Source organism: Homo sapiens, chromosome 19 (genome assembly GCF_000001405.40).
Source record: "Homo sapiens chromosome 19, GRCh38.p14 Primary Assembly".
Lineage (NCBI taxonomy): Eukaryota > Metazoa > Chordata > Mammalia > Primates > Hominidae > Homo > Homo sapiens.
The window spans coordinates 11,597,406-11,623,637 of NC_000019.10; the positions used below are offsets into that span (position 1 = coordinate 11,597,406).

General features: G+C 45.3%; 1 protein-coding gene and 1 pseudogene across 5 annotated transcripts, besides 5 other annotated features; one reads left to right on the forward strand and one right to left on the reverse strand.

The window, feature by feature from the left end:
• Positions 17–1,015: an enhancer, noted in NCBI's record as "NANOG-H3K27ac-H3K4me1 hESC enhancer chr19:11708237-11709235 (GRCh37/hg19 assembly coordinates)". NCBI's record gives its function as "activates a minimal SCP1, AML or CMV promoter by ChIP-STARR-seq in naive and primed H9 embryonic stem cells {active_cell/tissue: H9 hESC(naive and primed)}" and the evidence as "EXISTENCE:reporter gene assay evidence [ECO:0000049][PMID:30033119]".
• On the forward strand, positions 78–21,756 carry ZNF627 (zinc finger protein 627). Of its 5 annotated transcripts, NM_001290083.2 has the most exons (5): positions 78–225; positions 6,805–6,959; positions 17,122–17,248; positions 17,422–17,482; positions 19,290–21,756. In NM_001290083.2, the coding sequence occupies exons 3-5, from the start codon at positions 17,215–17,217 to the stop codon at positions 20,482–20,484; spliced, it is 1,290 nt and encodes a 429-aa protein (NP_001277012.1). In that variant the 5' UTR covers positions 78–225; positions 6,805–6,959; positions 17,122–17,214; the 3' UTR covers positions 20,485–21,756. The 5 variants fall into 5 exon arrangements, with proteins under 5 accessions (NP_001277012.1, NP_660338.1, NP_001277014.1 ...); NM_145295.4 differs by lacking the exon at positions 6,805–6,959; NM_001290085.2 differs by lacking the exon at positions 6,805–6,959 and having other exon boundaries at positions 17,122–17,244.
• Positions 103–182: an enhancer, noted in NCBI's record as "active region_14030". NCBI's record gives its function as "activates an Ori minimal core promoter by ATAC-STARR-seq in GM12878 lymphoblastoid cells {active_cell/tissue: GM12878}" and the evidence as "EXISTENCE:reporter gene assay evidence [ECO:0000049][PMID:35858748]".
• Positions 333–472: a silencer, noted in NCBI's record as "silent region_10123". NCBI's record gives its function as "represses an Ori minimal core promoter by ATAC-STARR-seq in GM12878 lymphoblastoid cells {active_cell/tissue: GM12878}" and the evidence as "EXISTENCE:reporter gene assay evidence [ECO:0000049][PMID:35858748]".
• Positions 2,439–2,518: a silencer, noted in NCBI's record as "silent region_10124". NCBI's record gives its function as "represses an Ori minimal core promoter by ATAC-STARR-seq in GM12878 lymphoblastoid cells {active_cell/tissue: GM12878}" and the evidence as "EXISTENCE:reporter gene assay evidence [ECO:0000049][PMID:35858748]".
• Positions 9,175–9,375: a silencer, noted in NCBI's record as "peak3358 fragment used in MPRA reporter construct". NCBI's record gives its function as "represses an SCP1 promoter by STARR-seq MPRAs in K562 erythroleukemia cells {active_cell/tissue: K562}" and the evidence as "EXISTENCE:reporter gene assay evidence [ECO:0000049][PMID:32103011]".
• VN2R12P (vomeronasal 2 receptor 12 pseudogene) lies at positions 23,497–23,819 on the reverse strand (annotated as a pseudogene).

Consider the following 26,232-nt stretch of genomic DNA (forward strand, 5'->3'; position numbering starts at 1 on the left):
GGCGGGGCCCTGCCAACTGTCCATTCAGATGGGCCCGGGAGAGGAGGGCAGGGCCTGCGCCTCCCTACGGAGCCTTTGTTTCTGGCGACCGTCCCCACCCGGGCTCGCGTCTCCGTTTCTCCGAGAGGCCCAAGGTGTCTCCGCCGCAGCCTCTGTCGCGCCGTGACCTGTACAGGTCGCGGGAGTCGTAGGGAGGACGCCGGGACACCTGGAAGCCGAGAAATGGTGCGTGTGAGGGGTCAGGCGTCCCCAGACCTGGGGGAGGGGCTGGTTGGAACCGGCCGGAACCGGCTGTGGAGGGACCTAGGCCTCCCTGCGGCGACTCCGGGGTCTGGGACCCGAGTTCCCTCGGCCGCAAGGTGGGGCTGGGCCAGGAGCTGGGACCCCGGTCGTCCTGTCCCGTCCCTGCGCGACGCCTGCGGCCCCGCAGCCCCGCGTCTCCCCACATGGTGCGGGGGCCGCGGGAGGGTCATGGGGGTATCCCTCCTCGGATGTGGTTCGTGTTGCAGGAGCTGCGGTCTGTGGCCGCCCCCCACAGTCCCGCCTTTCTCCCGTTAAAAATTTAGAGTTTATTTGAGCAAACAGCGGCTCATCGATGGAGAAGCTCCCGGTCGTGGTTTGTGGCTTGGGGATCCGTTGGAGGGAATGGAAGGAAAGGCTGTAAGGTGCAGGAGGAAGCGAACCAAATTCAGTACTTGGTTGGTGACAGTTATGCAGTCGCCTTATTTGCTCTATCTAGGTGGACATTTTCTGCTTATGTAGTCAGAGGTGGATTGGTGGTTGTGGTTTATTAACCCTAAATTTTATTTCCTTATAAACTGGTAATTTATAAGAATTTCATTTGAGGCTGGAGCGCGGTGGCTCACGCCTGTAATCGCAGCGCTTTTGGAGGCCAAGACAGGAGGATCGCTTGGGCCCAGGAGTTGAAGATCAGCCTCGCAATATAGCGAGACCCCATCTCTGTTAATTTTTTTTAAATGAACATATTCAGACTGAGACCAAAAAACTACTACAAATTTTTAAAATATAAAATCAAATAAAAGAATTTCATTCGACTTAGATTTCTGTTTCCTTGGGTAGGAAACCAGGACACCATAGCCACAGCCCTCTAATTGTCTCCAAATTAATTATTTTAACACTCCCCAGGGGGACAGGGTCCCAAATCCTTGACCTTGTTCCCCTAGCCTGACTCCTCTGGCGCTTGCAAATAATTCTTGATACCACTTCTTTCACCATATTCCCAAAAGGTAACTCCAGTCACGACATTATCAACTCTTTGTCCTTTATTGCACATTTCAAACTAATTAATTTGTATTATTTTTTCAAGGAGCAATCGATTGGTCTTTTAAAAATATTTGCTTTCTGTTTCTGAACATTTCACAGGAGAGGAAAGCAGAGAATACATGTATGAGACCCTGCTGTGAAAAAACCTTTGTGCCTCTTCTCCTTTTCTCTCTCCTAGGCACAGGGATGTTCTCAGAATGTCTTTTGGTTGGCCTGGTGCCATGGCTCATGTCTGTAATCCCAACACTTTGGGAGGCCAAGGCGGGAGGATCACCTGAGGCCAGGAGTTTGAGACCAGCCTGAGCAACATAGTGAGACCCGGACCCTAAAATAAAAAAAACAAAAAACAGTGTCTTTGGGTTGGGGTTCCCCTTTGGAAACTTTAAACTGTGATATGTCTTCAGAGCATCCTCCTTTCCTGGTCCTGGGCTTCAGGGCTGTTTGGGCTGACACAGGATGCCCACAGCAGCCAGATCTGTTGAAGGGTCTGGTATCAGCCTGCTCCCACTGGACAGCCTGAAGTACGGGGTGGGGCCTCTTAGTGGAGGAGCTGGGTGTCCTGGGGTCGGAGGAATCTCTTGATATCCCCTCCCTCTCAAAGCTCACCCCTGGGACACTCAGCTTTTCTTCCCCTAATTCCAGATCCCATTCCTTGGGGGACACATTGGTGTCCAGCCAAATGGATGATGGTATTGAGGGGAAAAACAGATATGATTCTTGCCCTCTGGATTCTTTTAGACTGGTGAAGTGAGAAAACTTATCCCAAGGACAGGAAAACCCATCCCACTGAGGTGATGCAAGAACTTGAAAAGCAAAATGTACTTCAGGCAGATGGAGGCAAAATGCAGTGTCTCTTGGAAGGGTGGTCACTGAGCCCTTCAGTGAGCAGGTTAGGGGGTGGACGATATCCCAGGTGATAGAATGACCTGACTTAGGCCGGGCGCGGTGGCTCACACCTGTAATCCCAGCACTTTGGGAAGCTGAGGTGGGCGGATCACTTGAGGCCATGAGTTCGAGACCAGCCCGGCCAACATGGCGAAACCCTGTCTCTACTAAAAAATACAAAAATTAGCTGGGTGTGGTGGCAGGTGCCTCTAATCTCAGCTACTGGGGAGGCTGAGGCATGAGAATCGCTTTAACGTGGGAGGCAAAGGTTGCAGTGAACCGAGATCACACCACTGCACCCCAGCCTGGGTGACAGAGCGAGACTCTGTCTCAAAAAAAAAGATGTGAAACTTGAGTCAGACGTACCTCTGTTCCAGGTTAGCGCAGCCCCTTCCTGGGTTTGTCCCCTGCAAAAGATTTGTTCACTTATTGCAGTTTCAGTTTTTTTCTTTTTTAAGTAACTATAAATGTATTTCATCAGTAGACCTTGAAATATAAGACAGTTTTGCAAAGAGGCAAGAAGGAAGTGGATTTCAGAAAACATTAAATATCTAGTCTTATGTTTGTTAAAAATTATTACTTATGGCTGGGCGCGATGGCTCACGCATGTAATCCCAGCACTTTGGGAGGCTGAGGCAGGCAGATCACGAGGTCAGGAGATCGAGACCATCCTGGCTAACACAGTGAAACCCTGTCTCTACTAAAAACACAAAAAATTAGCTGGGCATGGTGGCGGGTGCCTGTAGTGCCAGCTACTTGGGAGGCTGAGGCAGGAGAATGGCATGAACCTGGGAGGCGGAGCTTGCAGTGATCCATGATTGCGCCACTGCACTGCAGCCTGGGCAACAGAGCAAGACTCCATCTCAAAAAAAAAATTATTATTTTTTTCTTTCCCAAAGCAAGTGTAGTAAGTTTCTCAAGTATGTTGTTTTTTTTTGTGGGGGTGGGGTGTGGTGATTTAAAATGGAATTCCAGGGCTTAGTGTTGGGAATACTAAGGAAAAGAGAGAGAGAAAACTCTCTTCTATCATGACTGCAGAAAATGAATACATTTCCACAAGTAAGTGTAGCAAATAAATTGGTGAATTACAGAGATTCACCAAAACATCAATTCCTCTGCTTTGCAGGGTGGCAAACTTGTGACAGTGGATAACTGTTCTCTTCCTGTTATCTAGACATCAGAGTTTAATGCGAAGTCCTAGTAGGACAGGACTTGGTAACTCCTAGAAGTGTTCCAATATGATTTAGTACATGATTTGTTACCATAGAAAGAATAAATAACATGTTTATTGTCTGAAGAGGATGGATACTTTTACTTTTCCTGTTAAGGTATGAAATATAAGTGCCTTACAATTTCCTTCCTTGCTATAAACAGTGAATTTGAGTGATTTTACTGGAATCTTCAAACCCTGGGTATTTTCTCATTGAAAATTAAATGCATAACCTTGACTGGGAAACAGAGACAGCAGACTAGTGACTTGAAACTAAGACCAATCTTGAGCCTTCAAAGAGAGGACATTACAGGCCCAGTGGTTCTTGCTGAGGAGCCTCCCCTGCAGTGTCCCAGCTGCTCACAACTGACTTTGGGTGGAGCCCTTTATAGTGAGAGAAGCTCAGAGCCCTGGAAAGCTGGGGATTCATAGGCAGAGGTGGTTGAGGTGATGCCTTTCTGAGAATGTACTTGCTATTATCTTGGGTCTGTTTGTAGACGTTTCTAATGAAACAAATCTGGATTTAGGTAAGGAGTGATTTATTTTATTTTTATTTATTTATTTTTTTTGTGTGTGACAGGGTCTCACTCTGTCTCCTAGGCTGGAGTGCAGTGGTGCGATCATAGCTCACTGTAGCCTTGATCTCCTGGGCTCAAGGAATTCTCTCACATCAGCCTCCCAAGTACCTAGGACTAAAGGCATGTGCCATGATGCCTGGCTTATATTTTTAAAAAAGTTTTTTTAAGAGAGACAGGACGTTGTTATGTTGCCCAGACTGGTCTCTAACTCCTGGCCTCGAGCAATCCTCCCACCGTAGCCTCCCCAAATTCCAGGATTATGGGGGTGGGGCGGGGAGCACCACCACACCAGACAGGAATGACTATTCTAAAGGATAATCGAAAGGGGAGAAGGCACCAAGTATAAAATCTTCAAGCATCTCAGGCTGGGCGTGGTGGCTCACGTCTGTAATCCATGCACTTTGGGAGGCCGAGGTGGGTGGATCACAATGTTAGGAGTTTGAGACCAGCCTGACCAACATAGTGAAACCCCATCTCTACTAAAAATACAAAAATTAGCCGGGCATGGTGGTGCGTGCCTGTAATCCCAACTACTCGGGAGGCTGAGGCAGGAGAATCGCTTGAACTCAGGAGGCAGAGGTTGCAGTGAGCCGAGATCGCGCCACTGCACTCCAGCCTGGGCGACAGAGTGAGACTCTGTCTCAAAAAAAAAAAAAAAAAAAAAAAAATCTGCAAGCATCTCAGAGTTTATGCAGAAAAGGATTTTCTTTTGTAGGGAGGAGCAAATGATGAGAAAGAAGGTGGGAGGTGGAAGGCAGGATGCAGGGTGCAAAATCCCACCTAGATCCTGAAGGCAGTCTCTTCTTAGGAGGGTCATCAGAGGGGTTGTATATAGGCTCAGGCTGGGGGTGGGTCAAAGTTCAGGGGCTGGAGGAAGAAGAGAAACTTAACCAAAGTTTTGTTAACAGGTACTTTGTTCTGACTGATCACTGAAGACAGAGCTGTTCAGCTAATCAATTGTGAGGAAAATAAAGGGAATTTCTAGTCTGTGTATGGCTTTGTCATAGGTAAAAAAGCAGTGTCATCTAAGTCATAATGAGAAGAGTGTTTCTTTGCGTAACCTGCTCCTGCAGAATACAAAAGACGGGGGAGTTTCTTTAACCATAGCTATTTCCAGGATTACATACCTGCCCAATCTTCTGCCGCCATTTTCCCTTACATCCATCCCTTCCATTTCGCCATTTCTGATTTATATGCAGTTGCTGAGAAGTATGGGTGATCCCTGGGGCTTGTGACTGGCATCTGCAGTGGGGCACTGTTATGGTAATGAGCCCTGAACTTGTGGGGTCCCCGTTAACTCTGGGTAGTGTCAGAATTGATTTGAATGCTTAATTGGTGTTGGAGAATTGGAGATTTGGTTGTGTTCAGCAAACACCACACATTTGGTGTCAGAAATGGTATATGAAAAAAGACACTAGAGATCAGAACCTTCACCTGGCTCTGGGTAAGTGTTCGCTGGTGAGAATTGAGACCCTGGAGGAGGGAGCATTTCCACACTGTGAGGAGAGGAGAGTGGGTTGTGTGAAACACCTGTGGACTCACTACCCAGGTTCATAAATGGGCATTGGGCATTTCTGGTATGTCCTGATCTTGTCTCCCGTCTGTACCCACAGGTGACCAGGTCCTCATTTTTAAAAGGTGGTTCTTCATAGTTTTACCATCTATTTATCATTAGGCTGAATTTTGCTTGGCTCTTCCTCTTTTGAATTTTTAGTAAGTTATTACCATTAATATTATGCCAAAAAGAGTTTTTTTTTGGTTTCTTTGCCTGTTTGTTTCACGCATGCTGGTTTCTGCATTTAGTTTGGGGGTTAGGATTTCAGCAAATGAAAGTTTGGGCAGGGGATGGTGGTGGAATACAAACATTCAGTCTGTTAACAATCCTAACTGTATTTTGTACGACATCTTGGCTATTCTTAGCCTTTTTTTTTTTTTTTTTTGAGATGGAGTCTCACTGTGTAGCCCAGGCTGGAGTGCAGTGGCGCTCTTGGCTCACCGCAACCTCTGCCTCCGGGCTCAAGTGATTCTCCCACCTCAGTCTCCCAACAAGCTAGGACTACAGGTGCACAGTACCACACCAGCTAATTTTTGTATTTTTTTTTTTTGTGGAGGCGGGGTTTTGCCATGCTGTCTAAGCTGGTCTTGAACTCCTGGGCTCAAGCAGTCCACCCAGCTATGCCTCCCAAAGTGTTGGGATTATAGGTGTGAGCCACTACGCCCGGCCTTATTTTTGTCTGTTTTTTGTGGAAGTGATATCATCCTATATGTTATATTGTATGCCATCTGTCTATTTCACATAGCTGTGAATCTTCCATGAAATGGTATTTTATTCACTATTTTACTTAATAAACTTTATTTTTTAGACCGGTTGTAGTTTGACAGAAAAATTGAACAGATAATACTTAGAGTTTCCTTATTCTCCTCCACAGGTGATTGTTTTCCCCTACTTTTCTTTTTTTTTAAGAGACGAAGTCTTGCTCTGTCACCCAGGCTTGAGTGCAGTGGTGCGATCACTGCTCACTGCAGGCTAGACCTCCAGGGCTCAAGTGATCCTGCCGCCTCAGCCTCCCAAGTAGCTGGGACCACAGGTGTGCACCACCACATCTGGCTAATTTTTTTTTTTTTTGGTAGATGGGGGTCTCACTATGTTGTCCAGGCTGATCTCTAACTCCTGGCTCAAGTGATTCTCCCATCCTGGCCTCCCAAAGTACGTAAATATGATATCATATATATCATATAATTGATGAACCAATATATCATATATGATGATGATCAGAATTGGTGAGCCAATATGTTACTAACTAAAGTTTACACTTCATCAAAATTGGTAATTTTTGTTCTTCAAAGGACACCAAGAACTTGAAAAGATAATTCACCAAGTGGAAGAACGACTTGCAAATCCTGTGTCTGGTGGGGCATCTTATCCAGAAGCAGCCTGAGTCTCAGTCCCCTCCATCACACTCCATCAGGGTGGGGGCTGAATTGGCAGCCAGGACTCCCAGGTATCCTGTCCCATCACTGTAGGAGGCAGTCTACCTCCTGGACCTCTCTCTGGGCAGTTGTGCACCTGCAATCCTGGATCTCACCCAGATCATGGGGTGACAACAGGGAGTGGCCATCCAGAGAGAAATCTGAGCCTGGTGTTTTGGGTTTGTGGGTGGGAGGTACTCTCAGGACACCCTCCCCCTCCATGGATTCAGACTTGGGTGGGCCCAGCAGAATGGCATGTGTGGTTCCCAGCTCCTTCATCCCCAGTGGGAGGGAGCCTGTCATCCCCTATGCATTTCAGATAAATGAACCAGGGTCTCAAGTTTACAGCCTTGTTCCCTGTTAAAGAGAGATTGCACTGGAAACTTGTTAAGAATGTCAAGGAAAAGTTTATTAAGCACAATTGCAGTGAGTCATGACAGCTGTAATAGGGGAGGGAGATTGAATTCAGCCTTGAATGCAGCAGGAATATTATTGGATTTATAGCCAATGTACAAGGTGAGGGAGAGAATGGAACTTGGTTGGGTCTCATAGGTGGGAGAAAAAGAACTTGATTGGATATTAAGGTAGGAGGAGTCTCTATAAACTACCTTAGATGGATTCTTGCTGAAACTGACTTCTGCAGGCCAGTGCCAAGCCCTAGTCAAAAAGAGGGCTCTGAGGAGCTTGACTCAAGTTTGGTGAAGGAAGGAGTACTTGAGACCTCTTCAGCCTAGTTTTTCTTTCTTTCTTTTTTTTTTTTTTTTTTTTTGAGATGGAGTCTTGCTCTGTCACCCAGGCTGGAGTGCAGTGGTGCGATCATGGCTCACTGCAACCTCTGCCTCCCAGGTTCAAGCAATTCTCTGCCTCAGCCTCCCAAGTAGCTGGGGTTACAGGTGCCCACCACCAGGCCTGACTAATTTTTTTTTGTATTTTTAGTAGAGACAAGGTTTCACCATCTTGGCCAGGGTGGTCTTGAACTCCTGACCTCATGAGCCACCGTGCCCAGCCTCTTCAGCCTAGTTTTTCCCAGGGCTCTGTATTAGTCTGTTTTCATGCTGCTAATAAAGACATACCCAAGACTGGGTAATTTATAAAGGAAAGAGATTTCATTGACAGGTCAGTATGGCTGGGGAGGCCTCAGGAAACTTACAAGTATGGTGGAAGGGAAGCAAACATGTCCTTCTTCACATGGCAGCAGCAAGGAGAAGTGCAGACTAAAGGTGGGGGAAAGGTGGGGGAAGCCCATTATAAAACCAGATCTCATGAGAACTCACTATTATGAGAACAACATGGAGGTAACCACCCCAATGATTAAATTATCTCCCACTTGCTCTCTCCCATGACATTCAGGGATTATGGGAACTACAAGAGGAGATTTGGGTGGGGACACAGCCAAACCATATCATTCCACCCCCAGCCCCTCCCAAATCTCATATCCTCACATTTTAAAACAATCATGCCCTCCCAACAGTCCCCCAAAGTCTTAAATCATTCCAGCATTAACTCAAAAGTACAAGTCCAAACTCATCTGAGACAAGGCAAGTCCCTTCTGCCTATGAGCCTGTAAAATCAAAAACAAGTTAGCTACTTCCTAGATACAGTCATTGGGTAAATATACCCATTCCAAATGGGAGAAATTGGCCAAAACAAAGGGGCTAGAGGCCCTATGCAAGTCCCAAATCCAGTAGGGCAGTAATTAAATCTTAAAGCTTTGACATAATCTCCTTGGCCAGGCGCGGTGGCTCACACCTGTAATCCCAGCACTTTGGGAGGCCGAGGCAAGCGGATCATGAGGTCAGGAGATCAAGACCATCCTGGCTAACATGGTGAAACCCTGTCTGTATTAAAAATACAAAAAATTAGGCATGGTGGCACGCGCCTGTAATCCCAGCTACTCGGGAGGCTGAGGCAGGAGAATTGCTTGATCCCAGAAGGCGGAGGTTCCAGTGAGCCGAGATCATGCCACTGCACTCCAGTCTGGGTGATAGAGCCAGACTCTGTCTCAAAAAAAAAAAAGAAAGAAAAAAAGAATCTCCTTTGACTCCACGTCTCACATCCAGGTCATGCTGATGCAAGAGGTGGGCTCCCTCAACCTTGGGCACCTCTGCCCCTGTGGCTTTGCAAGGTACAGCCCCCACTCCTGGCTGCTTTCACAGCTGGCACTGAGTGTCTGTGGCTTTTCCAGGTGCGTGGTGCAAACTGTCAGTGGATTGACCATTCTGGGGTTCTTGAGGACGGATGGTGGCCCTCTCCTCACAGCTCTACTAGGCAGTGCCACAGTGGGGACTCTCTGTGGGGGCTCCAGTTCCCACATTTCTCTTCTGCGCTGCCCTAGCAGAGGTTCTCCATGAGGGCTCCGCCCCTGTAGCACACCTCTGCCTGGACACCCAGGCGTTTTTGTACATCTTCTGAAATCTCGGCAGAGGTTCCCAAACCTCAATTCTTGTCTTCTGTGCACCCACAGGACCAACACCACATGGCAGCTGCTGTGGCTTGGGGCTTGCACCCTCCGAAGCCATGACCCGAATTGTACCTTGCCTCCTTTTAGCAATGGCTGGAGTGGCTGGGCACAGGGAACCAAGTCCCTAGGGTGCATACAGCAAGGGGCCCTGGACCAGGCCCAGGAAACCAACCATTTTTTCCTTTTAGGATTCTAGGCCTGTGATGGGAGGGGCTGCCATGAAGGTCTGTGATGTGTCCTGGAGACATTTTCTCCATTGTCTTGGTGATTAACATTTGGCTTCTCGTTACTCACAAATTTCTGTAGCTGGTTTGAATTTCTCCCCAGAAAATGGGTTTTTCTTTTCTTTTCTTTTTTTTTGAGACAGAGTTTCACTCTTGTTGCCCAGGCTGGAGTGCAATGGCGCAATCTTGGCTCACTACAACCTCCACCTCCCAGGATCAAGCGATTCTCCTGCCTCAGCCTCCCGAGTAGCTGGGATTACAGGCATGTGCCACCACGGCCAGCTAATTCTATATATTTAGTAGAGAAGGGGTTTCTCTATGTTGCTCAGGCTGCTCTCAAACTCCTGACCTCAGGTTATCCGCCTGCCTCAGCCTCCCAAGGTGCTGGATTACAGGCATGAGCCACCACGCCTGGCTGGGTTTTTTTTTCTGTTCCATTGTCAGGCTGCAATTTTTCCAAACTTTAATGTTCTGTCACCTCTTGAATGCTTTGCCGCTTAGCAGTTTCTTCCACCAGATACCGTAAGTCATCTCTCACAAGTTCAAAGTTCCACAGATCTCTAGGGCAGGGGCAAAATGCCGCCAGTCTCTTTGCTAAAACATAACAAGAGTCACCTTTGCTTCAAGTTACCAACAAGTTTCTCGTCTCCATCTGAGACCACCTCAGCCTGGACTTTATTGTCCATATCACTACCAGCATTTTGGTCAGAGCTATCCAAGGAGTCTCTAGGAAGTTCCAGACTTTCCCACATCTTCCTGTCTTTTGAGCCCTCCAAGTCTCTAGGACGTTCCAAACTTTCCCACATTCTCCTGTCTTCTTCCGAGTCCTCCAAACTGTTCCAACCCTTGCCTGTTCCCCAGTTCCAAAGTTGCTTCCACATTTTCAGGTATCTTTACGGCAGAGCACCCCGCTACCCAGTACCAATTTACTATATTAGTCCATTCTTGCGCTGTGAATAAATACATACCTGAGACTGGATAATTTATAAAGGAAAGAGGTTTAATTGACATACAGTTTAGCATGGCTGGGAAGGCCTCAGGAAACTTAATCATGACGGAAGGAAAAAGCAAACATGTCCTTCACATGGTGGCAGCAAGGAGAAGTGCAGAGCGAAGAGTGGCAAAAGCCACTTATGAAACCATCAGATCTCGTGAGAACTCACTATCATGAGAACAGCATGGAGGGAAATGCCCCCATGATTAAATTACCTCTCACCGGGTCCCTCCCACAACATGTGGGGATTATGGGAACTACAATTTAAGATGAGATTTGGGTGGGGGCACAGCCAAACCGTATCAGGGTCAAAATAAGTTCCTAAGTTTCTGGTTTCCCTTGCCACAATCCCAGATGTCAACTTCCCCTCTCCAGTTGACATTATCTTCAATTATGTCTCCCCCATGCTAGGTTTGAAGCAGCTGTAATATTTTAGTTATTTATAATTTTCCATAGAATAATAAATAACAATTTTAAAGATTTATCTTTTTGTCAGTGTATATTTTACATGAGACAAAAGCTATTCAAGTGGTGAGTAGCCATTTGAAATTACATTGTGTAAAATCTGTGTCCCTAATGATTCGTGGTGTTGAGCATATTTGTATGTGCTTATTGGCCATTTGTATATATCCTGGAGAAATGTCCATTCAAGTTCTTTGCCCATTTATTATTTATTTATTTTTATTTTCACTTTTTTTTGGAAAGAGCTATGATGCCCAGGCTGGATTTGAACGCCTGGGCTCAAGATCCTTCTGCCTTAGGTTCCTGAAGCTGGGATTACAGGTGTGTTCCAGCATGCCCAGCCAATTTTGCCCATTTTCTAATCAATGTGTTTTTTGCTGGTTTATTACAATAACTTATTATTATTATTATTTTTTGAGACAGGGTCTTGCTGCATTACCCAGGCTGGAGTGCAGTGGTGCCATCTCGGCTCACTGCAATCTCCGCCTTCTGAGTTCAAGCCATCCTCCTGCCTCAGCCTCCTGTGTAGCTGAGACTAGAGGGCATGCCACCATGCTCAGCTAATATTTGTATTTTTTGTAGAGACAGGGTTTTGCCATGTTGTCCAGGCTGATCTTGAACTCTTGAGCTCAAGCTGTGTGCCCACCTCAGCCTCCCAAAATGCTGGGATTATAGGCGTGAGCCACCATGTCCAACAATTTATTATTATTAATTGTGGCTATAAAAACAATTAAAAATCTACCATCTTAAGCATTTTTGTGTACAGTTTAGTAGTGTTAACTATACTCACCTTGTTGTGCAACCAAACTCCAGCAATTGTTCCCATTCTCTCAAATTTATTTTTTCTTTCTTCAAGGTGGTTAATTTTATCTTCAAGTTAGCTGATTCTTATTTTGCTTGCTTGAATTTGCCATTGAACACCTATAGAGAAATTTTCATTTTAGTTGTGCTTTGCATCTTCCAGATCCGTACTTCCTGGGTAGTCTTTTAAAAAATTTTATATATATATATATATATATATATATATATATATATATATATATATGTATTTTTTCCCCCCCGAGACTGAGTCTTGCCCTGTCGCCCAGAGCTGGAGTGCAATGGCATGATCTCAGCTCACTGCAACCTCCGCCTCCTGATTTCAAGCAATTCTCCTGCCTCAGCCTCCCAGGTAGCTGGGATTACAGGCGCCTGCCACCATGCCCGGCTAATGTTTGTGTATTTTTAGTAGAGACGGGGTTTCACCATGTTGACCAGGCTGGCCTCTAACTCCTGACCTTGTGATCCGCCCACCTTGGCCTCCCAAAGTGCTGAGACTGCAGGCGTGAGCCACCGCGCCTGTAATTTTTTGTTGATATTATTGCATGCATCCTTTTCTTAGTTTTCTTTATTTCTTTCTCCATGGTTGTCTTTACTACTTTGAGCATAGTTAAGGCGGTTGCTTAAAGTCTTCGTCCAGTGAGCGCAATAACTGGAGATTCTCAAAGATGGTTTATCTCAATTTTTTCCCATTGATGAGCCATATTTTTCTGTCTTCTTTATGATTTTGTTTTTGTTGAAAAGTGGGATTTGAATTTTTTTTTTTTTTTTTTTTTTGAGACGGAGTCTTGCTTTGTTGCCCAGGCTGGAGTGCAGTGGCACAATCTCAGCTCACTGCAACCTCCGCCTCCCGGGTTCAAGCAATTCTTTTGAATTCAAGTCTTTTGAATTCTTCTGAGCCCAGAAAAGGTCTTTTCTGGAAATGCGTTCTTTCCTGGACATGAAGGGGGCATTCTCAATTCCCCAGCATACCTGGGTTTTTCTGAGTATCCTAATTTCTGAAAGAAATTTTTCTCCTCAGCTTTTCTTCCCAGGCTTTAGATGGTCTATCATATGTCTCAGCCATAATCTGTTGGCTCAGGTAGCTTCAGGGTTTTTGTTTACTTTATGACATTTCAAGCAGTTGCTGCCCTTTTTTTTCCTCAAAAAATAAAAATAAAACAGTCAGATGTGGTAGTGTGCACCTGCAGTCCCAGTTACTATGGAGGCTGAGGTGGGAGGATCATCTGAGCCTAGGGAGGTCGAGGTTGCAATAAGTCGTGATTACGCCACTGCACTCCAGCCTGGGTGACCGAGTAAGACCCTGTCTAAAAACAACAACAAAACCTTGTGTAACTGCTGCTAATTAGAGTATATATTCAGGGCAACTTGAATCTGTACTCCTGGTTTGCAGTCCTCAGCTCTGGCCCCAATAGACTGTCCATTTGTATTGATTTTGCCTAAGTTTCTTCCTTTTAGATCAACAAACTTATGGAGCGCCTTTCTGTTTCATAGATGGGATGCTTCTTGATTCGTGACTCGCTAATAATAGCCAATTAGATCACTGAACTCTTTGTTGAAATATTTTCTTTCTTTTTTGAGACTGAGTCTTGCTCTGTTGGCCAGGCTGGAGTGCAGTGGCGTGATTTCAGCTCACTGCAACCTCCACCTCCTGGGTTCAAGCGATTCTCCTGCCTCAGCCTCTGGAGTAGCTGGGACTTCAAGCATGTGCCACCACACCTGACTAATTTTTGTATTTTTAGTAGAGACGGGGTTTTACCATGTTGGCCAGGCTGGTCTTCAACTCCTGACCTCAAGTGATCTGTCCGCCATGGCCTCCCAAAGTGCTGGGATTACAGGTGTGAGCTACTGTGCCCGACCCCAAATTCTTGACCTTCTTGCCAACACTTGTTCTTTGGAGTGGTTGATTTTTATTGTGAGTCATAGGAGTTTTTTATATGTTCTTGATACTAACACCTTGCCAGATATATGATTTGCTGATACTTTTTACAATTCCCTGGTTGCCTTTTCCCAGTGTTGATAGTGTCTTCTGACACAGAATTATTTATTTAGAGACAAGGTCTTGCTCTGTTGCCTAGGCTGGAGTGCAGTGATGATGTGATCCGAGCTCACCCCAGTCTCAACCTCCTGGGCTCAAGGAATCCTCTTCCCCCAGCTGCCTGGCCTACACAAGTTTTTAATTTTGATGAAATAAAATTTGTCTTTTTTTTCTTTTGTGAACCATGTTCTGGTGTTTTATCCAAGAAATCAATGCCAGACCCAATAGAAACTTTTGCTGTGTGTTTTTGTTTAAAAAGGAAAATTAGAACAGAGTTAAAAGATCCAGTTGGCTTTTATTTGCAATTCATGAATTGGGGTACCATCCCATTCTATAAAATAGAATAAGAGCTCCCGCTGGGCGTGACAGAAGGGTGGGTTTTGTAAGGAACAAGAGAAACAGAACAACAACAAAGCAGACTGGTTAACATCAGGTTACTTTTATTGAAAGGGTAAAGCAGAGGGGACGTCCTTATTATGCCAGCTGAGATTGACTGGGCCCTTTCCTATTGGTTGCTGTGAGTCTCCTGTTTTGGGGAAAAACTGGGTATGTTTGAGGATCTACCTGCTTCTTTAAAAATTTTAGTTTGATTATGTGGCACTTAGCATGAGTGACTCCATTTTGGTTTGGTCTCATTTGTTGGGGACTAGTATAGGATTTTAGTCCAAAAAAATGGCCTGCATAATTTTTACTATTTTCTTCTAAGAGTTGTTTAGTTTTAGCTGTTACCTTTAGGTCTTTGATCCATTTTGATTTCATTTTTGTATGTAAGTTAAGGGTCCAACTGCTTTTTTTTTTTTTTTTTTTTGAGATGGAGTCTCGCTCTGTCGCCCAGGCTGGAGTGCAGTGGTGCGATCTCAGCTCACTGCAAGCTCCACCTCCCGGGTTCACGCCATTCTCTTGCCTCAGCCTCCCGAGTAGCTGGGACTACAGGCGTCCGCCACCACGCCCGGCTAATTTTTTGTATTTTTCGTAGAGATGGGGTTTCACTGTGTTAGCCAGGATGGTCTCGATCTCCTGACCTCGTGATCCGCCTGCCTCGGCCTCCCAAAGTGCTGGGATTACAGGCATGAGCCACCGTGCCCGGCCTGCTTTTTTTTTTTTTTTTTTTGAGACAGAGTCTCACTGTCATCTAGGCTGGAGTGCAGTGGGGCAATCTCAGCTTACTGCAACCTCTGCGTGCTGGGTTCAAGCGATTCTTCTGCCTCAGCCTCCCAAGTTTCTGGGACTACACCAGCCCACCACGCCCGGCTAATTTTTTTGTATTTTTAGTAGAGATGGGGTTTCACCATGTTGACCAGGCTGGTCTGGAACTCCTGACCTCAGGTGATCTGTCTACCTCGGCCTCTCAAAGTGCTGAGATTACAGGCATGAACCACCTTGCCGGGCCTCAACTGCATTTTTTCACATGTAGGTATCCAGTTTTCCCAGAACCATTTTTTTTTTTCAACTTTTATTTTTGGTTGAGGGAGTACCTGTGCAAGTTTGTTACATGGGTAAATTGCGTGTTACTGGGGGTTGGTGTATTTCATCACGCAGGTAGTGAGCATAGTATCTGATAGGTTTCTTTTCCACCCTCACCCTCTTCCAACCCTCCCACTTCAAGTAGGCCGCGGTGTCTGTTGTTCTCATCTTTGTACTCATGTCATCACCATTTTTTGAAAAGTATTTTTTTCCAATAATGAATCTGGGCACACTCGCCAAAAGTCATTTTACCATTTATGAATGTGTACCTCCCCTCCCCTCCCTCCCTTCCCCCCTCCCCTCCCCTCCCCTCCCTCCCTTCCCCCCTCCCCTCCCCTCCTTCCCCCCTCCCCTCCCTTCCCCCCCTCCCCTCTCCTTTCCTTTCCTTTTTCCTTTCCTGACATAGGGTCTCACTTGGTTTCCCAGCATGGTCTTGACCTCTTGACCTCAAGCCATCCTCTGGTCTTTGGCCTCCCAAAGTGCTGGGATTACAGGCATGAGCTACCATCCCTGGCCTGAAGGTGGTATCTGTTAAGAGCAATTCCCTGAGCATATTTCAAGATGACTACTCTTACCCTCTTCCTGCCATAAGCAGGAAGCAATTTTTCTATGATCTTCACTGTGAGAACTGATGAAGTTTCTGGAGGTAGAGCTCACACATTTCTGGGGGCCCCCTATGACTGGATCCCCTGGATTTTTACCTCTTTTTTTTTAAAAAACAGCTAATTAAAAAAAATATTTAGTAGACAAGAGGTCTCGCTATGTTTTCCAGGTCAGTCTTGAACTCCTGAGCTCAAGTGATCCTCCTGCCTCCATCTCCCAAAGTGTTGGGATTACAGGCGTGAGCCACCGTGCCCAGCCAGATTTTTACACTTAGCCTTTAGTAATTCATTAGTTGCAATTTAGGTTTTCCTACCCCTGTACTGCTTCCCACAGAGATTTTGCTATGGGAGTCTGTTCTAGTAAGTTATGACTCTTTTATCAGTTAGGTTGGTGGGATCCTGTCTAAAATCCAGTACCCAGATACTGTCAAAGCTCAAACTTTGTGAACAAGCATTTCTAAAGATACACAGTCTCAGGGTGGCTAATGTTAACTCTTTTTTCTGCACTCTAGTTACTAGATTTTTTTTTTTTTTTTTTTTTTTGAGACGGAGTCTTGCCCTGTCACCCGGTCTGGAGTGCAGTGGTGCAATCTCAGCTCACTGCAAGCTTCGCCTTCTGGGTTCACGCCATTCTTCTACCTCAGCCTCCTGAGTAGCTGGGACTATGGGCACCCACCACCGTGCCTGGCTAATTTTTGTATTTTTAGTAGAGATGGGGTTTCACCTTGTTAGCCAGGATGGTCTCGATCTCTTGACCTCGTGATCCACCCGCCTCGGCCTCCCAAAGTGTTGGGATTACAGGCGTGAGCCACCGCGCCCAGCCACTACATGTTTGTTACAACAGGTGCTACAGGCCTACCTTACAGAGAGACATTAGGGGTGGCCCAGGCAGTACATACTTCTCCCACCAGAGAGGCATGCTCCTATTCTGCTGTTGCTAGTTCAGTTCTAGCAGCAGAATTGCTTTGTGGAAGGAAGTGAGTCTAGACAGAGGGTAAGTTTGATGACTGTGGAATCTTGAAATAAATGTTTGGAAAGCATAGCATCCTGAGAACTTCTTGGGAATAAAGTCTAGGCCCCCAGTGCTGTCTGTCTCAACCTTCCTCCTCCACACATGGGGGATGTTTCAGGATTCAGTGGCCTTTGAGGATGTGGCTGTGAACTTCACCCTGGAGGAGTGGGCTTTGCTGGATCCTTCCCAGAAGAATCTCTACAGGGATGTGATGCGGGAAACCTTCAGGAACCTGGCTTCTGTAGGTAAGGGTGACAATATTCCTTTCCTCAGTGAATTAGAGAACAAGTGTTTCTAGCTCCTTAACACTTTGGGGAATAAACCAGGCATGGGTACAGGGAATTATGAATATAGAATCTAATACTTTTTTCATAATTTTATACTAATTCATAATGACTTTTCTGGGTCTAAATTTTAGGAAAACAATGGGAAGACCAGAACATTGAAGACCCATTCAAAATTCCCAGGAGAAATATAAGGTAATTTGCACTCACAAAAGAAAGTTCTGTTCCTTGAGAGCATTTCGTATTGTTAGGAATTTTTTTTTTTTTTTTTTTTAGATGAAGTCTCGCTCTGTCGCCAGGCTGGAGTGCAGTGGCACAATCTTGGCTCACTGCAACCTCCGCCTCCCAGGTTCAAGTGATTCTCCTGCCTCAGCCTCCTGAGTAGCTAGGACTACAGGCACGTGCCACCACGCCGAGCTAATTTTTTGTATTTTTAGTAGAGACGGGGTTTCACCATGTTGGCCAGGATGGTCTTGTTCTCTTGACCTCGTGATCTGCCTGCCTCAGCCTCCCAAAGTGCTGGGATTACAGGCCTGAGCCACCATGCCCAGCAGGAATTTTTAAAAGCAAGCAAACAACATATAAGCCCAGCTTCAAACTGTTTTGTTTTTAGAAAATCTTCTCCAAGCCAGGCATGGTGACTCACGCCTGTAATCCCAGCACTTTGGGAGGCTGAGGTGGGCAGATCACGAGGTCAGGAGATCGAGACCATCCTGGCTAACACGGTGAAACTCCGTCTCTACTAAAAATACAAAAAAAAAGTTAGCTGGGTGTGGTGGTGGGTGCCTGTAATCCCAGCTACTCGGGAGGCTGAGACAGGAGAACGGCGTGAATTGGGAGGCAGAGCTTGCTTTGAGCCAAGATGGCACCACTGCACTCCAGCCTGGGTGACAGAGTGAGACTCTGTCTCAAAAAAGAAAAAAAGAAAATCTTCTCCAAAAACATAGTTAAGTGTAACATAGATGTTCAGTGTTTGCAAAATAGTTCAATTATAGATAGTATTAAGAAACTTCATACGAATATCTTTTTTTTTTTTTTTTTGAGAGGGAATTTCACAACTCGTTGCCCAGGCTGGAGTGCAAGGGTGCCATCTTGGCTCACTGCAACCTCCGCCTCCTGGATTCAAGCGATTCTCCTGCCTGAGCCTCCCGAGTAGCTGGGATTACAGGCGCCTGCCACCACACCTGGCTAATTTTTTGTATTTTTAGTAGAGACAGGGTTTCACCATGTTGGCCAGGCTGGTCTTGAACTCCTGACCTCAGGTGATCCACCTGCCTCAGCCTCCGAAAGTGCTGGGATTACAGATGTGAGCCACCACACCTGGCCATGAATATCATTTTCTTTCTTTCTTTTTTTTTTTTTTGAGACAGAGTTTCGCTCTTGTTGCCCAGGCTGAAGTGCAATGGCATGATCTTGGCTCACTGCACCTCTGCCTCCTGGGTTCAAGCAATTCTCCTGCCTCAGCCTCCCGAGTAGCTGGGATTACACGCGTGCTCCACTGCGCCTGGCTAATTTTTTTTATTTTTTATTTTTAGTAGAGACAGGGTTTCTCCACGTTGGTCAAGCTGGTCTTAAACTCCTGACCTCAGGTGATCCTCCTGTCTTGGCCTTCCAAAGTGCCGGGATTACAGGCATAAGCTACTGCGTCTGGCCATGAATATCATTTTTTGATAATAGGTATGGTTGTGACCTATTGCAGACCATTTAGTCCACTCATGTTCAAACAGTTGAGACAGGCATAAAACGTACACTTTCCCTGGTAATGTTAAACATGTGAATCCAAGGCCAGGCATGGTGGCTCACGCCTGTAATCCCAGCACTTTGGGAGGCAGAGGTGAGAGGATCCCTTGAGCCTTGGAGTTCAGGGTTCACGCCTGGGCAACATAGTAAGATTCTGTCTCTGTATTTAAAAACAAGTATATGTAAGTCTAATACCTATTAATAAATATAAAATCATTTATAAACAAAACATTAATAATGTACTTCTCATTTTTCTGACAAGTCATATTCCAGAGAGACTCTGTGAAAGTAAAGAAGGTGGTCAAGGTGAAGAAACCTTCAGCCAGATTCCAGATGGTATTCTGAACAAGAAAACTCCTGGAGTAAAACCGTGTGAAAGCAGTGTGTGTGGAGAAGTTGGCATGGGTCCTTCATCACTTAATAGGCACATCAGAGATCACACTGGACGTGAACCAAATGAATATCAGGAATATGGAAAGAAGTCATATACACGTAACCAGTGTGGACGAGCCTTGAGTTATCATCGCTCTTTTCCAGTACGTGAAAGGACTCATCCTGGAGGAAAGCCCTATGATTGTAAGGAATGTGGAGAAACCTTTATTTCTCTTGTAAGCATTCGAAGACACATGTTAACGCATAGGGGAGGTGTACCTTACAAATGTAAGGTGTGTGGGAAAGCCTTTGATTATCCCAGTTTATTTCGTATACATGAAAGAAGTCACACTGGAGAGAAACCTTATGAATGCAAGCAATGTGGGAAAGCCTTCAGTTGTTCCAGTTACATTAGAATACATGAAAGGACTCACACTGGAGATAAACCCTATGAATGCAAGCAGTGTGGGAAAGCTTTCAGTTGTTCCAAGTACATTCGAATCCATGAACGAACTCACACAGGAGAGAAACCCTACGAATGTAAACAGTGCGGTAAAGCCTTTAGGTGCGCCAGTTCTGTTCGAAGTCACGAGAGGACTCACACCGGAGAGAAACTTTTTGAATGTAAGGAATGCGGGAAGGCTTTGACTTGTCTTGCAAGTGTTAGAAGACACATGATAAAGCACACTGGCAATGGACCTTATAAATGTAAGGTGTGTGGGAAAGCCTTTGATTTCCCCAGTTCATTTCGAATCCATGAAAGGACCCACACTGGAGAGAAACCCTATGATTGTAAGCAATGTGGGAAAGCCTTCAGTTGTTCCAGTTCGTTTCGAAAACATGAAAGAATTCACACTGGAGAGAAACCCTATAAATGTACAAAATGTGGGAAAGCCTTCAGTCGTTCCAGTTACTTCCGAATCCATGAAAGAACTCACACTGGAGAGAAACCCTATGAATGTAAGCAATGTGGGAAAGCCTTCAGTCGATCCACTTACTTTCGAGTACATGAAAAAATTCATACTGGAGAGAAACCCTATGAGAACCCTAACCCTAACGCTTCAGTTGTCCCAGTTCTTTCATGAGCATGAAAGGAGTCACATAGAGAAACCCCATGAAAGTAAGAAATTTGGGAAAGCCTTCAGTCCTTTCTGTTTCTTTCAACTACGTGAAAGGATTCACAGTGGAGAAAGACCCTGTAAGATAATTGGCTTTAAATTACGAGAGACTTGTGATAGGACAGTAAAACCTAGAGTTGGAGTTGGATCTCTGGATTGTGTTATGTCAGTGTTGGTAGGTTAGGAACTAGATTTCCCAGAATCCATTCCATTTGTGATTCCATGATACAATTCACCAGTAACCTATCTTACATGAGATTCGGAAGTAAGTTAAGAAGGCATTAGTCATGGTTTGGAAGCACCATACAGGGAGACAGCTGTGTGAATACAGGCTGTATGGACACTTGCTTCCATCCCATTTTCCTGCTTCTTTGGGTTGCCAATCAAGAGTATCCTCAAAACGACTTGACTTTAATTTTCTCGGAGGTGATAGGCTTCCACACAGGTCTCCAGAAGCCCTGCATTGAATATCCATCCACACTTTGGTTTTCCTTCAGACATTATTATGTCTGTACTAGGCAACTAATTCAGACTGTCCTGGTTGGGAATATTCTGTGATGCTCTGACTCCCCTAGTCTGTAGACGGAATTGGCATACGGTCTAATTTGTGTAGTAAGCACCTTTGTTCATACTAGTAGTGACTGTATTCTTGATTCAGCCTGATAGCTACCATGCTGCTGTCAAAACCAACCAGAGGGGAGCTTGTTCTTCTGCTGTAGTGTGCAGTGACTGGCCTCACCCAGGACTTTGATGTGAGAATGAGCACTTTCCTCTATCAGGAAATTTCAAGTGTTTCCTGTTATTCGTAGCTCAATGTAATGCCTCAGTTCATTTTCAGTTGTTTGATTATATGTGACTAATATGTATTTTTTATTCAAACAAGACTTCTGTACATGTTTCTTCAAAACAGTTTATTAACTGTCTTCAGTCTTGGATTACATCAAGTTTATAATTTTGGCAAATTGTTAAGACACTGTGAAGTCAGCGTTAACCATGTGCATACAACTTAAGGAATTTTTTCCTCCTCATGTAAATTTTACTTTTCATGCTTATATAGTTTCAACTTTTATCTTCATAGTAATTTCTCATCTACTCATAATACCAAAAGTTAAGTCATGCTGTTTTGTGTGCTCTCTTGCTAAAGACCGCAGAGACCATACCTGTTGTCAAAGAGGGTGTAATAAACTGTAATAATAATCATGACCACAAACCATAAAGGACTGTGTGATGTATCAGTAAGAGGGTGCTCAGAAGAATTTCTTACAGGTTTTGTGCTTGTTATAGGTTGGTTGATTTCTATTTTTTTTTTTTTTTTGATATAGAGTGTTGCTCTGTTGCCCAGGCTGGAGTGCAGTGGTGCGATCTCAACTCACTGCAACCTCCACCTCCCAGGTTCAAGCAATTCTCCTGCCTCAGCCTCCAGAGTAGCTGGGATTTCAGGTGCACACCACCACACTCGGCTAATTTTTGTACTTTTAGTAGTGAACGGGGTTTCACCATGTTGGTCGGGCTGGTCTCAAACTCCTGACCTCGTGATCCACCTGCCTCGGCCTCCCAAAGTGCTGGGATTACAGGCATGAGCCACCGCACCTGGCCAGGTTGATTGATTTATGTTCAGGGAAGCAAGATGATTCTCTGTATTTGATGCAGTGATGAGGTAAACTTAATTCTAAACTTGGTAATCATAACTGTTCTTATCCAGAAGGGAAAAGGAATGGAGTGGAGGTAAACGTAATTCATGAGAAATACCACTCAGTCATATTAGTGAGAAGAGGGGAATTTGGGTCATGTTTATGATTTGGAACATGCTGTCTTTCACCAGTTTTAAAGACATGGTTACAGAATGCCCTTTTTTTGTCTTGATTCATCATAGCCACCTAGGAGCATGGTCTCACATTGCTGGTGTCTGACATGTTTCTCTCCAACAGCGTAAGACTTGGCCTTGCAGTGAGCGGAGGCTGGCTCCTGGACTTGTGGACCTGTTTTTGCCTTACTTATTCTCTGAACACTGAAGTATTTCCTGTGATGTACTGGACACTGTTTTCCATTATGTACCTCAGTTAAAATATGTAAATTTACTTCTTAGCAAGCTGTATAATACTTTTAAAAAGCTCCTTTACGAGTCTAATGAGACTAATATATTTATGCACATTTTCTGAATGCAAGCCTAGGAAGGGAACAAAGTCAGCATCAATATTCCAACCAAGCCTTTCTTGCTCCAATAATATGCTTTTGTTTTTGTTTTTGTGTTTTTGTTTTTTTAGACAAGAGTTTCACTCTTATCACCCAGGCTGGAGTGCAGTGGTGCAATCTCAACTCACTGCAACCTCTGCTTCCCGGTTCAAGTGATTGTCCTGCCTCAGCCTCCTGAGTAGTTGGGATTACAGGTGCCCACCATCACACCCGGCTAATTTTTGTTTCGTATTTTTAGTACAGACAGGGTTTCACCATGTTGGCCAGGCTGATCTCAAACTCCTGACTTCAGGTGATCTGGCCGCATCGGCCTCCTAAAGTGCTGGAATGGATTACAGGTATGAACCACTGTTCCTGGCATATATGCTTTTGCTTCTAATTTATCAATAGGCCTCTTATGCCAGCACTACAGAGTAAAAAGCAACATGCAAAAGTCAGCTTTTTGTCTGTACACTTCCACGGAACAATCCAATCACTTCGTTGAAGGTGTCCAGCAAGCTCTTGTTGAGAAAATCCCTGTTGAAACTTCTCAGTGTCAAAAGCCCAGGTATCACAGGATAGAGTAGCAATCAGCAACCAAACCATGACTGTATGTGGAGATGACATATTCAGCCCCAGATAATGTATTCACATGAGTGAAGGGTGGAGTCATTGCCTGTCAGATTCTACAGTCATTTGGATTAGAGAGGGCAATACAGAGTTAGGTGCTACTGAATCCAACCACTGAGTCCTTCTCCCTTGAAGGCAACACCCACAGTGATAGTGTGGGCCACAGAGTAGAAACCCCACCATCAACACGACTCCAAATGTGATTTTGCCCGGGATGCAGGTGCTGTGTTGGGATGCAGGTGCTGTGTGGGGATGACCAGTGAAGGTAGGGGACACTGGAAGCACAGGGTGAGGGAGATGAACAGGACACAGCTGAGCCTGATTATTGGCCTTGACTGTGGGAGTATCTTGATGCTTCACAAACACCCCAGAGAGGACATTGTAGCACAGGCCCAAAGAGTGTTCATAAACCAGAGGGCCACCACTTTTGGAAGGCAGTGATGTGGCTTTCTGTTTGAGTCCTGATGCTCTGTTGACAGCATACACTGTTCTTCATCTGATTAGAAAAGCAATGCCGGCTGGGCGCAGTGGCTCACGCCTCTAATCCCAGCACTTTGGGAGGCTGAGGTGGGCAGATCACCTGAGGTCAGGAGTCCGAGACCAGCCTGACCCGCCTTGGACCTATTGGACTGAACAAACGGGAGCAAACACAGGAATAAAAGACAAGAGACAAAAGAGTATATTTGGAAGAAGGGGTTGGGGGGCACCTTGCCTCTAGTGGACAAGGGCCCCGAGCTTTACACAGCCCTCTGTATTTATTAGACAAAAGAGCGAGAAAAGCGGGGGGTGATTGTTGGGTAATTGTCAGTTGGCCATTTGGTTCACACCAGGCTTGTGAGACTGCATCCTTTGGACAATAGGCACTAATTTTCTCAGTAGATAACTTCAAGGAGCCCAGTGCCAGGGAGTGATGTCCCTCAGCAAACCTTTTGGTGGCAGGGCAGTGAGTTTGCCCACATCCTGCATTCATGATAAACAGTTTGCTGTTTGATCCCATATAGACTCCTGCGGAATGCTGAGTTGGTCACGTCCCACGGGCCTTCGGCTCCCTGCATATCCCCCTTTTTGTTTATGTATTAATTGAAAGAATGTAAGGCCAGGCTGAGCAGCTCTCATTGTCCGATTGGCGGTCCATCTGATTTTACAGAAAACATAGCATTAGAACTGTGTTGTGACTCTGTTAGGCCTTCTCTCTCTCTTTGCACCCAGGCTCAGCTGGCTCATGGCTCGTACTGGAGGGACCGGGCCCATGGTTGGCCACCCTGGGTTCCTCCCGTCTCCCGTTCATGGTCGCACACACCTTGAGGGCACCCAAACGGTGTGCCCATCTCCTGTAGAAACACAAGCATGCTCTCTTCCCCATGTCAGTAAATCCACCGGACTTTTCCATTGTCCTTCTTCCAGGGATTTCCATAACACTTTCAGATAAACTTTCCTCTTTTCCTCTAACACTTGTCAATGTCTTTCTGCTGGAGTCTTACCATCCGGACCAGGAGCCAAAAAAATTTAAAGTAAATAAAAATAATAAAAAGTTCTGATTGAGGTGGTAAGTGGCCTCCTATACCCCCTTTTTGTTTTTTCAACATGTGTTGTAATGTTTGATGTGCCTGCTCTATAATGCCTTGTCCTCTAGGATTATAAGGAATTTCTATTTTATGGGTTATAGCCCAAAGCTGTAAGAAATTTTGAAAAGCATGGCCAGTATAAGTGGGTCCATTGTTAGTTTTTAATTGTTTAGGTATTCCCATATGAGCAAATGATGACAGATGATGTCACCATACATGACCAGCTGTCTCACCTGTTTGGCATGTAGCATGCAGCATTTGAGAATAAGTGAAATAAATTAAGCAGTTCTGGGTCTAGTGTACTTTTAACTGTAGCAGTTTCTACGCGACTGGCTACATTTACAACATAAGCTGAATCACAGACAATGTTGATAGGATCTGAAGCTGTGAGCTGTAAAACCTGAATGACTGCAGTTAGCTCTGAATGTTGAGCTGAAACCCCAGAGGTCGTTATTGTTTTGGGACCTTTTTGGAATCACAAATACTGGAGAATTCCAGGGGCTAACTGACTTTTCTTTTTTTTTTTGAGACAGTCTCGCTCTGTCGCCCACGCTGGAGTAAAGCTCTGTCTCCCGGGTTCATGCCATTCTCCTGCCTCAGCCTCCCAAGTAGCTGGGACTACAGGCGCCTGCAACCATGCCCAGCTATTTTTTTTGTATTTTTAGTGGAGACGGGGTTTCACTGTGTTAGCCAGGATGGTCTCGATCTCCTGACCTCGTGATCCTCCCGCTTGGGCCTCCCAAAGTGCTGGGATTACAGGCGTGAGCCACCGCGCCCGGCCTGCTAACTGACTTTTCTATATGTCCTGTGTTCAATTGCTCTTTTACCAACAGATGAAGTTCATCTAGCTTCTTTTGTGATAGGGGCCATTGATCCACCCACACAGGTTTGTCACTGAGCCATTCTAATGGTAAGGCAGTGGGCAAAGGAGAAATATCAAATATCAATGACCCCCCCGTCAGAAATCCTTGTGTCCTAGCCCTTTTCTATCTGTTTTTCCAGTTACTGATATCGGGTTAGGATTTCATTGTAGAAATTTCCCTAAACCTTTTTCACTCTGATATCCCATGTTCTTCAACATTTTAAATCCTGGATTATCAAAGTTTTCATTTGTAAGTCTCCTATCCCATGCTGTAAGTCTCGACCCCATAAATTGATGGCTATATTTGCAACATAAGGCTGCAAAGTCCAGAGCAAGCTTAAAGTTGTAAAAGTTCTTTAATAAATAAACAGAGTAACCTGATAGGACGGGCGCGGTGGCCCACGCCTGTAATCCCAGCACTTTGGGAGGCCGAGGCGAGCGGATCACGAGGTCAGGAGATCCAGACCATCCTGGCTAACACAGCGA